At 43.1% G+C, this 17,387-nt stretch overlaps 1 protein-coding gene across 24 annotated transcripts in view, besides 1 other annotated feature; it reads left to right on the forward strand.

Annotated features, from left to right (window-relative positions):
• The window catches only part of DOCK1 (dedicator of cytokinesis 1), a 547,089-nt gene that overhangs the window by 150,324 nt on the left and 379,378 nt on the right, over nucleotides 1-17,387 (forward strand). For 23 of the 24 annotated variants that reach the window (XR_007061946.1, NM_001377544.1, NM_001290223.2 and 20 more), the window contains one exon: nucleotides 5,917-6,025. The exons of the other annotated variant lie outside the window; for it this stretch is intronic. Coding sequence is in view for 22 of the 23 variants with exons in the window: in NM_001377544.1 (NP_001364473.1) it covers nucleotides 5,917-6,025 (109 nt within the window). In the remaining variant the exon portion in view is untranslated. The remainder of the gene's footprint in view (nucleotides 1-5,916; nucleotides 6,026-17,387) is intronic. 24 annotated transcript variants of the gene reach the window in all.
• Nucleotides 14,585-15,784: an enhancer, noted in NCBI's record as "BRD4-independent group 4 enhancer chr10:128868600-128869799 (GRCh37/hg19 assembly coordinates)". NCBI's record gives its function as "activates an origin of replication core promoter dependent on BRD2, P300/CBP, MED14 and CDK7 cofactors, and independent of BRD4, by STARR-seq in HCT116 cells {active_cell/tissue: HCT116}" and the evidence as "EXISTENCE:reporter gene assay evidence [ECO:0000049][PMID:35650434]".

Here is a 17,387-nt window from a genome sequence, read left to right on the forward strand (position 1 = left end):
CTTTGGCTTTAAGTATCTCTTTAGGCCCTAAGTGATCCACTGGCATGGTTTAGTCCTACCAGGTTACATAGAAATGGACTGAAGTACTCAGCTGCTCCTCGTGTTTGGGACAGGAAGTGTTTAGTGCTAAAGTCCTCTGAATGCCTGCATTCTGGTGCTCAACAGCATGGCACAGAACATGATCGCTCTACCTGCCTTTGTCCTGGTATGGACCCAGCAGGAGCCAGGCATGGTCCACAAACTGAGTTTCTTTGCTGGTATAACTTGTTTGTTAGAAGAGTTGAGACTGTTGAGGACACAAAGTGGTCACAAGACAAGTTGTAGCAATTGTTACAACTTAGTGAGGCTCCCTAAGCCTCTGAGGCCATTGTCTGGGCATTCCTGACTTTAGCTAACCGAGTACTGCAGTGATTCTGGAGATCCTGATGCTGCTGCTGCTGCTCCTGATCATGATGATGATGATGATGATTTGAGACAGGACCTCCCTCTGTCACTCAGGATGGAGTACTGTGATGCAGTCATAGGTCACTGCAGCCTCAAACCCCTGGGCTCAAGCCATCCTCCTGCCTTAGTCTCCCAAGTAACTAGGACTACAGGCAGGTGCCAGCATGCCTGGCTAATTTTTTGTAGGACATGGTCTCGCTATGTTGCCCAGGCTGGTCTCAAACTCCTGGCCTGAAGCCATCCTCCTGCTGTGGCCTCCCAAAGTGCCAGGATTCCAGGCATGAGCCCCTGTACCCCACTGATTCTGGGGATGTTGATACTCATGTTCCTTCTCTCCCTCCCTCTTTTCCTCCCTTCTTCCCTAGCTTCTTCCTTCTCTCCTCGCTTCGTTCTTTCCTCTCTCCTTCCCTCCTTTTTTCTCTCTTTTGTCCCTTCCTTCCTTCCTTCCATGAATACTTAATGAGTGTATGAGCCCCAAGTGTATCCCAGACTTTCACAGTTTGACTTTATTATTTTTTCTCTGAACGTTTCCTGAATGTGGATCCTGGCTGCCTACCCTCATTCCTGAGGGGAGAGAAGGACATAACGTTCTTTGAGATGTGGAGCACCTAGCCGCATTGTGCAGAGACAACAAATACTTCAATTTAAATCTGTGTTCTAAAATGGCTGAGAAGATATTTCATAGATTTTATGAGAGGAAAAAACCCATGCCCTTAGAATATTGGACGGTAGGGCAGAAGTCTTCTAGTAATCCCTCCCCTTCTGTCCTCCCCATCCCACCCCTGCTCCCCATCATCCCACCACAGCATGTCAGTTGTTACTTCATCTGTGCTATCACAGGTCTGAAATGTAGCTGAAATCGTTTTCCTAGCTTGTATAGGCTACTTAAAGGAAAAAGAGCCCCACGTCCCACACAGATATCTAGGATGTTTGATCCGTGACAAGCTCCAAATGAGTCTCCTGTGTGGTGCTGTCAGAGGTGGGGAAGAAAACAAACTAGGACTCTCATCTTCTTACCTGCAGCATGTTTATTACCTTGAGAGAAAAACAATTGTGCTCACAGCTGGAATTCATGAGTGTGTTTTCCTTTTTGCAGCTGGGATAAACTTTTGAGATCTTATTTTTCTTTGGCTTTCAAAATGGTCTATTGTGTTTTCCTATAGTGCAATAGCTTTGTTAAATTCCAGTATAATTGACAGTAATTATTCTTCCAAAGAACAAAGAGGTGAAACTTTGAAGATGAAGATATTGAAGCTTATGTTGTTAACTTACTATCTTTCTTGCTATGCAGTCTCATATTTTTTGTTTTGTTTAGAAAGCTCATTTTGTTTTGAAATGAGAACAACAGTTTAAAAGCTATGGCCCAAAGACATTTGGTTCCTGGGGAACCCACTGAAAGATTCCTGACAGCCGGGGGCACTTCTCTACTGGTTTTTGTTTGTCTGTGTTTTCTGTGTGGGTGGATCACATTAACTAGAAAGCCAGAAAACAGATATTCTGCATCAGAATCAAATTACTAAATCTAGTTATTGCCTGCCTTCTCTTCTGGGTTTCTTGTGCTTTGTAGAGTTTTTGCCTGTCATCTGGTGTTAGCTTTGTAAATAATTAGTTATTGATCATGAATAAGTTGTACAGACCTTTTTGCTATCATTCCCTGGGTCACAAAATAGAATGTAGTTAATAGACAAAGATCCTGTCATTCCTTGTTAATGAACACTTATTTAAGTAGAGCAAGGAATGAGCAGGTCTTATTCATCTGTTTATTTATCGATAAGTTTCTGAGTTGTTTTTTCTCAGTTTTTTATCCACTTCAGGGTGGATCAAAAAAGTGGTTCTCCCTGGTTTATCTGGGAAAATGAAAAGGGAAGATTCTAGAGACTTTAACAGTGATCTTTTGTTACAGAAAGATGCTTCAAAAGGATCACGGCAAAATGCTATGTTCTAAACATGTTGGTTGGCACAAGAGAAACTGTTTTACATTTTTACTCATGAGAGGTTCTGGTAGAATTTAAAAAATATTAAAGATTCATTAATCATGCCTTATAGATTTTGAAGCTGTGTTATTGGGGGCATACAGATTTATAATCATGATATCTTTCCTGTTGGTCTATTCCTTAATCAATATGAAAAGTTTCTCTTAATCTTTTGGCTAGTATTTGCATGGAATACCTATTTCCATCCTTTTATTTTCATGCTTTCTGTGTCTTTATACTTAAGGTGTGCCTCTTATAATACAACATATAGTTGTATTTTTCTTTCATCCAGTCTGACAAGCTTCTTAATTGAGCATTTCATCCATTTATATATAGTGTAATTAAGTAATGTTAGATTTATATATTATTTTTGCATTAATTTTCCCTTCCCCATCTGTATTATTTTCCCCTTTTCCTCCTTTTTTGCCTTCTTTTATACCAGTTACACTTTTTTTAAGCATCTCATTTTCTGATTTTTAAACATATTATTTGAATATTCTTTTACTATTATTTTTAACAATTATTCTAGAGATGGTAACATCCATGTTGGACTTATTTTAGAGTATTTCAAATGATTACTCTTACCAATCCACTGATAATGCTAGATATGGCCAGAAAAATAGCACGCTGGAATTGCCATTTTCTTCTCCTCTGTTTTATATTATTATTGTATTTCAATTCTATGTTTTATATTCCATAAGACATTACTGTTATTTTATACAGTTAGTATTCATTTGATGTGTTTTATGTTTGTAATTGTTTTTCATCCTTCAATTTCACTTTTCCTTTGGGATCATTTTCTTTCTGTCCAAAGAACTCACTTGTATTATTTCTTTTAGTGTTGGCCAGTTATGGGACTCTGTTTGTATGAAAATGATTTATTTCATCTTTGTGTTTGAAAGATATTTTCACTCACTATAGCATTCTAGGTTGGAAGTTATTTTCTTCTTCCATGTATTCTATTCTATTTTGATTTCCTTCATTTATAGTAAGTCATTAGCTTTCAGACTTACTGTTACATCTTTGAATTTAAATGGTATTATTTTCTTTCTTGCTGCTTTTAGTTTGTCTCCTTTTCTGTGGTTATTGACAATCTTACTATGGGTTGCATAGGATTGTTTTTGCTTTTTATTTATCCTGCATTGAATTTCTGAATTTTTTGATTGATATCTTTGATCAGTTTTGGAAGATTTGTGGCCATTGTCTGTTCTAATGTTACTTTTGTCTCATTATCTTCCTCCTTTTCTCCTGGCACTTCAATTACATGTATGTTAGATCTCCTCAATATGCCTGCACATTCCTAGCCCTCTTCTGTATTCTCTTCCTCAGTACTTCTGTTTAGTTATTTTCTGTGGATTGTCTTCCATTTTACTAATTCTGCCTCTTGCTGTGTCTACTCTCTATTTTGTTAATCCATCTAATAAATTTTTAATTTTAGAGAGTATATTTTGTAGTTTTAGAATTTCCAGTTGATTTTTTCATAGATTCATTTCTCTACTGAAATTTTTCTCTTACCTTCTATTTGTCATTTTTTTATCTTATTTTCCCTGTTCTCAAATATGATTATAGTTGTTTTGATGTTCTAGGAAATTGTAATATCTAGATTATCTGTGGGGCTGTTTCTGCTCTCTTTTTCCTCTTTCACTTGGACTGTGGTCTGGTTTTCTGCTGAGTTTAATAATTTTTGTTTGAAGTCAAGACTGTTTGTATGTAAAACTGTAGAAGCTTCAGATGATGTGATCTTCTTCCAGAGATAATTCATCCTGCCTTCTTCTAGACAAAGTGGGGCTGACCATCTTATTTTAATCAGAGACTGTGCTCAGTTTTGAGGCTACACTGGACCTTTAGTATGCCTCAGTCTCCATTTACTGTGCCTCTGGCTTTCTAGGATTTTCATCTGAGAGTCGGCTCTGTTACCTGGGGACTCTCTCCCTGGCGTTTTCCAAACTCGAGTCATTTTCTCTGATGATTGGTGCAAATTCCACTTTGCTTTATAGAGGTTTTCGTTTTGGTTTTTAGTCTTCTATCCCATACAGGTCTAGGAATTACAGATGTCCTGAGGGGAAAAATGATTGCAGCTTGATGGCTCCCGAAGGGTTGCACCAGTCTACCAGGTGTTCTTCATGCCACTTGCAAGCAGAAGTTCATGATTCCATCATTTTAATTGTTTGGTACATCATTTAAGCAAACCCCATTTGAAAACCCTTATTTACAAAACAGATCCACTAGGTTGCAATTTCCCATTTTACACAGAATTTGTTGCTTTACAGTGGAATTCATTTAAATATCAGACTACCTCTAGGGTAATTAATTATCACTTAGTTTACAAAATTTTCCATTGTACACAAGTTTTCAGGTATCGTATATTTTTAATTAGGCAGCAAACTAGTATTAGTAAACACTGTATTAATAAAACATCTGAGTCACAATATTTTAAAATGCAAATGTGTTGCTTTTTAGTAACACAGCAACTTGAAGTAACTGCTAATAAATAATTTACAAACGAGACTTATTTTCAATTAGTAACATATATTAGCATACATGTAACCAATGCACAACTTCCTTATTACCTATTTATTGAATATGTCCCACCTCTTGAATACTTTTCAGTTACCACTGATGTTGAAATGAATGCGTTTGTAAAGCACCATTACTCTGGAATAAAAAAGCAACTCTTGTGATATCATTTTAAAGGATTAGAAGATCATGGTAAATTTAGGCAATGGAGTGTGTTGTTGATTTTCAATTTGTGACATAATGGGTTTAAAAACATTGGTAGTGGCCGCCTGGCGGCTCACGCCTGTAATCCCAGCACTTTGGGAGGCCGAGGCAAGTGGATCACCTTAGGTCAGGAGTTCAAGACCAGCCTGGCCAACATGGTGTAACTTCTTCCCTACTAAAATATAAAAATTAGCTGGGCATGGTGGTGGCCACCTGTAATCCCACCTACTTGGGAGGTTGAGGCAGGATAATTGCTTGAACCCAGGAAGCGGTGGTTGCAGTGAGCCGAGATCATGCCATTGCACTCCAGCCTGGGTGACAAGAGCAAGACTCCATTACAAAAATAAATAAATAAAATAAAAATAAAAACACTGGTAGAAAACACAACTGCATCTTAATAGTGTAATTTTTGTGGGGTAGAAATAAAGCTGAATTTCCCCATCCTCTTTCCCTCCTTCTCTTCCTCGGCCCTTTCCACCCTCCCTTTCTGTATATTTTCTGTGTTTTTCAGATTTATAAGATGTAGTATGTTACAATGAAAAATGCAGTGAGTGGTAGCATTAAGGGTCAGCCTCTGTATGTGGAGGCACGCTGCCTTGGCTGAGTGGTCTGCATGAGTCTCACTGCCAAGTTACCTTCCTTGCTTCATAGATGTTGAGGATGTGGTCTCTCATTCTAACTTGTCACCCAAGTGATTCCCTTCATGGCTATAGACATGGATTCAAAAAATGTTGAGGTGTTTCTGCCAGGCCCCCACAGTTTGTGTGTTTCTTTGCAGACTGTATGAAAACAAGGGAGAGGCTGACTTCGTGGAATCTTTGCTGCAGCTCTTCAGGTCCATCAATGACATGATGAGCAGCATGTCAGACCAGACCGTCCGGGTGAAGGTGAGTGCCGGCCACTGCCAAGGCAGACTTCTCCTTCTTTTTTTCTTTCATTATCTCTTTTGGAGGTAGGTATTTTGATTACAGTTAATTAACTTGCCCCAAATACCATAGTTGTTAATGTCAGAGATCTCAATTTGATTTCAAGAGCTGTGCTTTTTTTTTTTTTTTTTTTTTTTTTGAGACAGAATCCTGCTCTGTTGCCCATGCTGGAGTGCAGTGGTGTGATCTCAGCTCACTGCAACCTCTGCCTCCCGGCTTGAAGCAATTCTCCTGTCTCAGCCTCCCGAATTGCTGGGACTACAGGCGCATGCCACCATGCCTGGCAAATTTTTTTGTATTTTTAGTAGAGATGGGGTTTCACCATATTGGTCAGGCTGGTCTCCAATTCCTGACCTCAGGTGACCCACCCACCTCAGCCTCCCAAAGTGCTGGGATTATAGGCGTGAGCCACTGTGCCCGGCCTTTTTTTAATTTTAATTTTATTTTTAGATGACACATAAAAACTGTACATATTTATGGGACATACGCTGATATTTCAGTACAGGTATACGATGTGATCAAATCAGGGTAATTAGCATAGCATCACCTTGAACATTTTTCATTTCTTTTTGCTGTGAACATTCAGAATCCTTTCTACTTGCTTTTTGAACATATACACTAAATTATTGTTGACCGTCTTCACTCTGCATTGCTACAGAACACTGGACTTTATTCTTCTTATCTAGCTGTAGCTTTGTATCAAAGTGGACTTGTAGATGAAGGGCTTCCTGTGGCTGAGCTAAGGGGCTGTGGGCCCTGCCAAGCCTGAACTCGAGGGAAAGGCCCCGGAGCCTCTTTTGTAGTGAACATAATCATGCTCCATGTGTAGTGAAATCCCTTCTTCCTCCTCCCTAGGTGCTCTTAAATATTTTCATTGCTTCTCTCTTTGCTGTTTGGCAAGACAGATTCTGAATTCACTTTATTTAAATTTGGGGGAATTGATGAGAATCATGTTTTACACCTAATTTCTCAGGGTGTCCATGCCCTGGAAAGGGTGGTGAACCTTCATGCTTCAGTGGATCTTTGCCTGTGCAGAAGAGCGAGCCTTCCAGTGCCCCTGTCCTTCTGTCCTTCTTCCCTCTTTTGATGACCTGGTCTCACCCTGTTGTCCTTTGGAAGAAAGATCCCTTCCACTCACATGAGGCCTGAGTGTTCTTTAGGATGCTCACTGGTGTGGAAGTGCCTGGGAGGCCCATGGAGCAGCCGCAGGACCCCCACAATCTTGGTTATCCTAGTTATGGCGGTTTTCACTGGGCTGACTTATTGCAGAAGGAGCTGTACAACTTGCAATTTGCTGCCTGCACTAATTCCTTCAAAGAACAAGAATCTTCCAAATGATTAGCTTACATCTTTCACTCGACTGATCATGGTAGACGCCTCTGTTCTTCCTCTTTTAATGTTTGTTTAACGTATAATTTTAGAAGGCATTCTTATGGCTAGTGTCTTAAAAATATTTTGGTCAAGTCGCTTCCCAGCCTTAAAGCTTTGCCATATGCCCTGGAACAAAGATGTATGTGTGCTGAGACGTGGCTGATGGTTGCTGTGACCAAGGAAACCAGCATAAGTAGACATGAATCAAGTCGGAGCCTACCTTTCATCTCAGAGGTGGTGCAGCTGTTTGGTGGAGCCATTTGGACTCTTCACTACGATTTCTTGATTTTTTTTTTACATGATTTACTATAAAAATTGGTGATTTATACAGAAAGAAATGTAGGTGGTGCATACATTAAAATTTTAGGTTATTTGGGCAACTTGATATTGCCCAAAGCTGTCTTATTGTCCCAAGGTTAAAATTAGCAATGTGTTTGGTACATTTACTACTGAATTCAGTGGCATTTTAGAAAAACAGACGTGTGTAGTGTAAGAATAGATAAAAATTACAGGAAGTTTTGAGCCCAGCAGTAATTTTAGATTGCTAAATATATCCTTACATTATTAAATTTGATTGGGCTTGATTTGTGTCTGCCTCCCTCCCTTGAAGTCAGATTACTTAGTGACTAGGGACCGGGAAGACCATGCTTCAGTGGGTGTTTTATTATAAGACACAAGTGAATTGAGTGACGTGTGTGCATTGATGCAAACCTTACATCTGCAAGACAGACGCACGGCGTTTTATTAGGCATGTCACCTCCCTTCTGGTAATTGGTATCGTATTATTTCACAATAGGTGCTTTCTCGATGACGTTGGAAATTTAAAGATTCCCATCGTGGGAGCCTGACTTTTGTGTTGTTTTAACTCTTTCAGTTTTGCTGTGTCTAAATGGAAGGAAATACCTTGTGAACCATCTTCCATAGACAAAGTATATTTTCAGACTGTGACATTTAAAGGTTAAACATTGTTTCCCCAAGTGTGGCCCTCGTTGGTACCAAACGGTTGGTACCTTCCCGGTTCAAGTGATTCTCCTGCCTCATCCTCCCAGTAGTTGGGATTACAGGCACCCGCCAGCATGCCTGGCTAATTTTTTTGAATTTTTAGCAGAGAAAGGCTCCATCCCCTTCTTGGTACCAAACCTGCCACTGGCATCAACTTTGCGGATTAGAGTCAGCCACGGGGTTTTACGCCTCATTGAAGAGGGAGGGCAGGAGGAACTTCAGAAGTAATTTATTGCAGGATAAGCATGGTCTCCAGCTAGAATTTTCAACAGGACTGTTTTCATTGATTTAGTGACAAAATTTTTCCAAGGTCATTTAAGTGAGAAAACACAAATGGAGGACGCGTGGGCCAGTTTTTATGTTAAGTCAAATGTCCAGGAAACTCCACTGAGTGTGTGGATGCTGCCTGCCTTCACTCCCCTTCCCAGCGGCCGTCTCCCGTCACCCCCGCTCCCCAGGCGCCCGCCGTGCCCAGATGTTTCAGTACCGCCTCACCGTCCCTCAGTGAATGGCCCTCAGCCCTGGGGCTGCAGCCAAATACTTTTTGAAAACATACTGCCGTGGCCAAATAACATGAAATTCCCCATTTCTAAGTGTCCCGTTCAGTGGCATTAAGTACAGTCACACTGTTGTGCAACCATCATCACCATCCCTCTTTAGAACTTTTACGTCTTTCCAAACTGAATGGAACTCCAGCCCCATCAAACACCAACTCCCTGCAGCCCCTGGCAGCCACCGGTCCACTTTCTGGGTCTAAGAATTTAATGGCTCTGGGAACCTCATGGAAGTGGACTCATACCACATTTGTCCTTTTGTGTCTGGCTTTTTTTCTTTTTTTTGAGACGGAGACTCGCTCAGTCTCCCATGCTGGAGGGCAGTGGCACAGTCTCGGCTCACAGCAACCTCTGCCTTCCCGGTTCAAGTGATTCTCCTGCCTCATCCTCCCAGCAGCTGGGATTACAGGCACCTGCCACCATGCCCGGCTAATTTTTTTGAATTTTTAGTAGAGACGGGGTTTCACCATGTTAGCCAGGCTGGTCTCGAACACCTGACCTCAAATAATTCACCCGCCTCGGCCTCCCAAAGTGCTGGGATTACAGGCATGAGCCACTGTGCCCGGCCGTGTTTGGCTTCTTTTATATGGCATAATGTCTGCAAGGTTCTACCAGGTGGTGGCATGTGTCAGAATCTTCTTCCTTTTTAAGGTTGTCATGTTGCTGTGTGTCTCGTGCACATTTTGCCTCCGCACCTGTCCCTGGATAGAGGCTCGGCCTGTTCCCACCTCATGGTGGTTGTGGTTCATGCTGCTGGGAACTGGGGTGTACAGATGCCTCTTGAAGACCCTGCTGCCAGTGCTCCAGAAGTGGAATTGCTGTTTCTCGTGGTAATTATGCTTGAATTTTTTGAAGAATCATCCTGTTTTTCCCAGCACCCCACCATGCTACCGAAACCTCACTTGAAATTCCATATTGACTTTCCCTCAGCAGCCCTTTCCGCAGCTCCTCCAGCTCCAGGCATATCCTCTGCCGCACATCACCTACCTTGAGTGAATGATGCGGCTCCGACTGCTGCATTGAAAAGGCCTGGGGTCAGAGGCGGAGGTTGCAGTGAGCCGAGATCGCGCCATTGCACTCCAGCCTGGGCAACAAGAGCAAAACTCCATCTCGAAAAAAAAATGATAAAAGAAAAGACCTGGGGTCTCTCGGTATCACCTCTTCCTGTCTGTTTTCCTCTGAAGAGGAGAAGCCCACCTGCTGTGCAGTGCTGACCGTCCCCCTCCCTGAGACCCGCTCCACCCCTAGCTGTTTCCTCACCATCTCAGATCTTCTGTCTTCACCTTGAGCTGCCCCTTCACCCGGCCCAGATGTTCTGGAAATTCAACCCGTGCCTTCTGGATTCTTCTTTGCCCTCGGCGTTTCTCTCTCCTACCTGACAAGAGGGTCCTTGGCCCCATTGCCTCTGCCCTCGAGTCGTGTTCTGTGTTCTGCCCCAAGAGATTGTGGCTGCTGTTCCTCCCAGGTGCCCCCGCCGCCCCCAGCTGCGGTGTCTCCAGTCAGCCTCGGAATTCCCTTCTGCTGTCTTCTCTTCTCTGTGCTACTGTGACTGTGGTTTCATGAACCACTGGGCTTGCTAGGTCCCCAGTTCTTCGTCTTGAAATTAGGGCAGAAAAGTCTTGGAACCGTTTCCTGCATGCTGATGCTGGACCTGCCCCTTTTTTCCTTGGCATCTCTTTTGGTGTTTTCCTGAAACTCCCATCTGGTGATGACTTGCTGTTTCTCAGAAAACTGTGCTGTTCTTCAGCTGCCAGGAGAAATGGGTCAGATTCCAGTGTGTGACATCCAGACAGCTTCATAGGCAGCCCACCTGGCTCTCCAAGCCTTTTTCCCTCGTGGAGACCCAAGTAGAACCAGTGCGTTCCCCAGGAAACACCAAACATCTGGGTGTGAGGAGCCTCCTGAGGGTTAGCTCCCCCAATCAGTGGTTGATAGAAATAGCATGAGCGCCTAGTGCCAGAGTAACTGGAGCTGATACTTATTGATCGCCTGCTGTTCAACGTGCTTTGTATTTCTCAACTGATTTAGTCTTTACAATAGCCCTATTAAGTAGATACTTTGATTGCTTTCTGATGAAGACACTGAGGCCTAGAGACCTTAATTAACCTACCCAAGGCCACAAGAGCTGGGATGGGGTAACGCGCTGGTTTAAACCCTGGTTGGCTAGTTCCAGAACCACTCTCTTTCCCATTTGGCTCCTAGAGACAGTGTTGCTAAGTCCTGGCTATCCCGTGGTGTTTGGAAACAGGGCCCATGCCTGCCATCCACATCAATGGAGAACAGGCTGGATGCTTTGGGCTGGAAAGATGCCGACATTATCCCTGGTGGAGCTTTCCATCGAAGTGGACATGCATAAAGCAACTTAAAAACTCTGGTGAAATGCCACAAGAATTGGGTGAGTGTGAAGGGGAGGGAGGAGAGTTAGAAGGGGCTGGTCACGAAGGCTTGTGGGAGGAGACCTTGGCGATGGCCCCACTGTGTTGGCAGCAGGTGGCTGTATCTTGGCCACTCGTGGATTGCAGTGCTGGATTGAGGCGTTTGGGGCTTTGCAGTCAGTTCTTACAGGCATTGACATCATTTCAAGTCCACAAATATTACTACCTTCCCTTAGGATGACCCTGGGAAAAGACTACTGCATGCAGGACCTTGGCATAGTCTGTTCCATCTGGGGCTGAGAATGCCAGAATTTTCTATAGAAGGAAACTTTGACCATGATCCACAGTAGGAAATTGATGCTTACTTGGTATATGTGTGTGAGTGTGTCTGTGTGCATTGTATGTGTGTGTGTGTATGTGTGCGTGTGTGTTGTGCATATGAAGCTGGAAAATGCTCATGAAGAAGTTCTACACTGATTCCCTGTGATGCATTCTGGCATTTTCTAGTCTAGTCTCCTTTAGTCTATTCTAGACTAATGTATTTCAGTTAAAAAAAAATTGCTGGTTGACAGGCACTAAATTTATTTCATGAGCACTAATGGATCTCAACCTGCACTGGAAAAACACTCCTCTTTATTCATCTCAGGACTCTGCCCCTCTGTCTCCTGCTTAGTTTATTATGAAAATATTGTCAGCTTTCTGCATTTCTTCCATTGTCGTGTAGAGCCCCAGGCCCCTGACGCTCAGGCAACTTTCCTGACCAGCATGCGGATTGAACTGGGGTGAAGATTAATTGAATTTGAGGCCCCCCAAGCTGAGGTTGGCACACAGATGCAGAAGGTTTGTCTTCCTTCTGGGGCACTGTCCCCAGGGAGCAGGCTTCCCCATCTCTTTCCATTCTAACCATCACATGGCGCCATTTCCATCTGGCTTTCTTAGAGAGGAGCTGTGTTGAAATAAGCTATTCTGTAATCTCAGTAAATACAGCTGATGGGTGAGTTCTGCCCTCCAAGAGGCACATTTTTTGATTCCCTTAAAAATAATTTCCTGATTTGAAATGAACTGTATTTTCTTGCCTTAAATCTTACCCAGAATTCTTCCTTATGAGGAGTTTTTGCTGCTTTTTGTGTATTTATTTCCGGGCTAGCATCTGGGATCCACACGGCTACTCACAGATTTGTACACATAGAACTTTACTGTCCTCAGAACAAATGATCTGAATGTGTTAGGGATGATGATAATTTAAGATCAGATGGAATAGGATTTGCTGGCAGGTGAGGAAGTCACGTTTCACTGAGTAACTTTGGGCCTGTCTGGCACCTCTCCTACAGCAGCTCCTGCCTTCGCCCCTTCGTCTTTATATGTGTTCCAGATTTTCATAAAGGTATCAAGTCCTGGTTTGCATTAAACAAAGCAGCCATTTATTGTGTCCTTGCCCTCAGTTTAAAAGTAATATGTGATCTGGTTAGAAAAATGCCAAAAAGTTAATTAAGAAAAATAAGAATCATTTATCACCCTACCTTCCAGAGATTACACTGTTAGCATTTTTGTTTTTACAGTGATGAGCTCTTTTTGCTTATTTAGCATTATCCTATATATATACACACACATATGTATACACCCACACCTATATATACACACATATAAATGTAACATATGTATAGTATAAATTCTCATGTGTATACACACACACACACACTTTTACAGTGTTGCATTTTTCTGTATATATCTACCTGTGTCCTTCAGTATTTTTCAAGCACACATTTTGAAAGGTTACACATTGCCTCATGGCTGTATGATAACTTACTTAACCAGTTTTCCATTTGAGGGCACATAGCTGGTTTCTAGTTTTCAGTTTTCATGAACAGTGCTTGGCTGACCTCTCTGTCTATGGCAAAGGCCTTGCTCCATCTGGTTTGCTCTGAGGCATCCAGATTTTCAAATGCTCTAAAGTCCGATGAAAGTCATGATCAAGGCGATTAGGGCTTGATTCCTGGGTGATGACTCTGTGCTTCTTTCATTGGCGCCGTGTGTCTGCCCTGCCTTGGTTTCCACTAGAGCTCCCGTCTGTTTCTTTTCCACTTCCTTCTATGCTTCTTGTCATTGGGCTATGCAGCTGCCATGGTGGATGAGTCGGGAGCCACTTCCCTCTCTCAGAAGCCACCTGCTTCTGTGACCTTTGTGTTTCTTGGTACAGGATTGTTGGCCAAGTTAGGTAAGGAGACGAGAACTCCGGTGCGTTCCACTCCCTCTGACCTGACGAATCAGGGCCTGGAGCAAACCAACCAATGAGATGTTGGCACCGTCATAGACCAGCAAGCAGCTTAAAGAAATTTGGGAGTATTTTGAGTCAGAAGGGTTTCCCAAGAGCAAGTAATAAAATATTTTCACCTTCTTGATTTTGAGTGGAGGAGGGGGTGCACTGATGGTGTTAATTGATCTGAGGATGTCATGGGCATGAGTCAGGAATCTATTTGAGAGTCTCTCATCATTCGTGGGGACACAGATGCGGTGGTTTGAATGAGGACCGTCTAGGTCACATTGTCTGTATGGAGACAGACTTGTTGAATTAGAATATTGGGCAGCTGAGGCTGGCAACTCAGGTGAAGCCAACCATGACAGGAAGGACTACACTTGTTGAGAATCAGCAACAGGCCAGGCCTTCTGGAGAGTTCTCCTGCAACAAAGAGAAGAGAGGGAGGTCCCAGAGTCGAGGAGGTGAGTAGGCCAAGTTTGGAAGTTGCTCTAACAAAATACTACAAACTTGGTAGCTTAAAACAGTGGTTTTTTTCTTCTCTCAGAGCCTTGGAGATTAGAAACTTGAAATCAGGGTGGCGGCAGGGCAGGTTCCTTTTGGCTGCTCCAAGAGATGATGTGTTCTGTGCCTTTCTCTAGGTTTCTGGTGATCCTTGGTATTTCCTGACTTGCAGATGCCTTGCTCCAGTCTCTGCCCCCGTCTTCACGCAGCACTCTCCCTGTGTGTCTGTCTTTGTGTCTCTTCTCTTCTTATGAGGTTGTTAAATTCAGGGCCAACTCTACTGTGGCGTGGCCTCAGGTCAACTTGATTATATCTGAAAAAAGACTGTTTCCAAAACATTCACAGGTCCCAAGGGTTGGAACTTGAATTTAGCCCTTTTTTTTTTTTTTTTTTTTTGAGATGGAGTCTCGCCCTGTCACCCAGGCTGGAGAGCAGTGGTGTGATCTCGGCTCACTGCAACCTCCACCTCCCGGGTTCAAACGATTCTCCTGCCTCAGCCTCCCGAGTAGCTGGGATTATAGGCACCCACTACCACGCCAAGCTAATTTTTGTATTTTTAGTAGAGACAGGGTTTCACCACATTTGCCAGGCCGGTCTCGAACTCCTGACCTTGTGATCTGCCCGCCTCGGCCTCCCAAAGTGCTGGGATTATAGGTGTGACCCACTGCACCTGGCCTGAACGTAACCTTTTGAAGGACACAGTTTCACCCACGGTAGACGTCATCGTGGACGTCAGTGTAGAGTTCACTGGCAGGTCAGTGGTGAACAAAGGACTGGAGAGGAAGTGGGTCCTTAGCCAGGCACCCACAGTCAGTTTGACATGGGAGCTGCAGGACTGGAAACTTCTTAGAATCTAGTGTGCACATGAGTCACCTGGAGGTCTTGTTAAAATGTGATTCCGACTCTGTAGGGAGGGGGCCTCAAGATGTTTCATTATAATCAACTCCCAGCTGATGCTAAGGTTGTGGGTCCCTGGCCATATATTGAGTCAGAAGTGGCCACGCCTCGCCTTGCACAGACAGCTGCTGTGTGAGCAGTAGTGTTTGTGGGTAGGGCACCTGGTCTCAGTTCTTGCAGCCTTCAAGGCTGGCTTCATTCAGGCTGCCTGCCCTCAGCTGTCTGACGTTCTGGACTATTTTGATTTGATAAGTTTGCCCTACACACAGATGATGACACACTTGCAAGTGTGTCATGTTAAGAAAGACTCAGCAGAAGAAGGAACGAGGGAAGTGAAGAAAATATTTTATGGCTTGCTCTTAGAGGACCTGTGGGTCCAAATGCTCCCCATTTCACTATACTGCTTGCTGGTCTGTGGCCCTGCAGAGGGTTGGGTAGTCTGGCTGAGATCTGAACTCACCAGGTGCTGCAGCATTCCAGTCTTCTTGGTTGCTTCCTAGGATTCTTCCTGCCCGCTCTGGAGGGAACAATACCACTCACATAGGCAAGAATTAATCAGGAGAGGTCTGGATAAATACACTTGTTTCCTTGAGCACCTCTCCACCCACATTTATACTGTGCACAGTACTTTGCAACAGTAGCAGAAATGCAGCAGTAGCACTACCTTGCAGAAATGCAACAGTAGCTGAAATGAAAATCATCTCTCTTCCACCGTTTCTTCAGCAAACCAAGTATTTCTATTGGTTTTCTTCCAATTCTAGTGCATGCCCATCAAAATGTTTATGCTTGCAACCTGCGTAGTTTTTGGTTTACTGATTTTTTTATCATTTTATCACAACACCTTTCCATTATTAATGTGTAGTTGTAATTGTAATGGCTGTATGCCAGTTCAGAACATGTGCCTGAATTGATGTGCAATCATTTGCTTAATCAAATGATTTTTCCTCAAATTAATTTTTCTATTGTTGAATACTACCGTGTTGCTTTTAGCATTTTAAGCCTGCAACAAATTATTTCATTGATAAGTAGTGTGTGTTTATGTTTTCTTTAATTTTATGATCCATTTTTCCATGTTGATTCCTTCACATTGCCACTTGTTAGAGGACAATGCTTTAATTTGAGATTGCAGAATTCTAGGCACTTGCTTGCCATCCCTCCTGCCTTGTCCCCAGTAATGATGCTCACTGGTGGAAAATCTCTCCTTTGGCCATGGTGGCTTCAGTGCTCAGGAACCTGAACTTATTTTCTTCTCCCACCCCTGATCTTGTTCAGAGATCTCTCTTGTTAGGTGCTCCTCCCACATCTGTGCCCTCGGTCTTGGATTCTGCCTGCTGCCAACATGCAAGGTGCCAGTGAGCCCCTTTCTCCTTCCTCCATCATGGTCAGGATTTATTCAGCATTTCTCTGAAAGTGAGCAGGTCTCAGAGTTATGCTTAGTACCTCATTGTTGAGTTATGTATTCACCTGTTTAAAAAATTCCTTCAATCATATGTTCATTCTCCTGTGTGCCAGGCACTGTGCTAGGCACTGAGGAGTTACAGCACCAATCACACAGATACGCTCTGTATTCTCATGGTGGTTCCATTGGAGTGAGCAAGGCAGGCGTGAACTCAGTAACCATCCCCTATGTGTATAGTTGCATAGTTGCAATATGTGATTTTAAGCAAATCACAGACATAAAATTATCATTGTGGATTGTAGTCACTCATTTTAAGAAAAAGTAAAGGTCAGGGTGACAAGGTATATCGGGGCATTGGAAGTAGTTTAGGGGTTCAAAGAAGGTGCTGATACAAAGGTAGTCACCATGAGGTGCTTGGATATGTAATACAGCAGAGGAAAATGCCAAACCCAGACTCTCGTATGGTTTGGAGAGAACTGTGCTGCCACTTTTGTCCAGAGGGGTTGTGGAGCATGAAGTAATCCTAATCCCTTCTGTTCGTGCAGTACTCTCAGGCACCAAAGACTTTGATGCGTGTTATCTCTTAGGATCCTCCCAGCACTGCCATGGTGGTTGTTAAAAATAATGAGAAAGCTTTCTAAAGGGACGGGCAGAGAACATCATCATGCAAAGTCTGTGCGTCTTAATAGCTGACTCATTGATGGAAACATTTATATCCCACATCCACTGGCTCTTGTCTGGCTTCTTCAAATGCACCTGTCCCTAGGACCCCTTCCTAGAGATACCAGCATTTAGAACAGACCAGTCTAAACAAGGTCTTCTCAAGTGAACTGAAGATACTAGGCCTGCAAACGCTCATCTGCACTTCACTTACGATGTGGCATTTATAAATGCATTCACCGTAGGTGTTTGTAGATTCTTTTTATGTTTTAAGTTTTAAGTTTGCAGCATTGAGGCCTATTTTGAT

Source organism: Homo sapiens, chromosome 10, assembly GCF_000001405.40.
Source record: "Homo sapiens chromosome 10, GRCh38.p14 Primary Assembly".
Classification (NCBI taxonomy): Eukaryota; Metazoa; Chordata; class Mammalia; order Primates; family Hominidae; genus Homo; species Homo sapiens.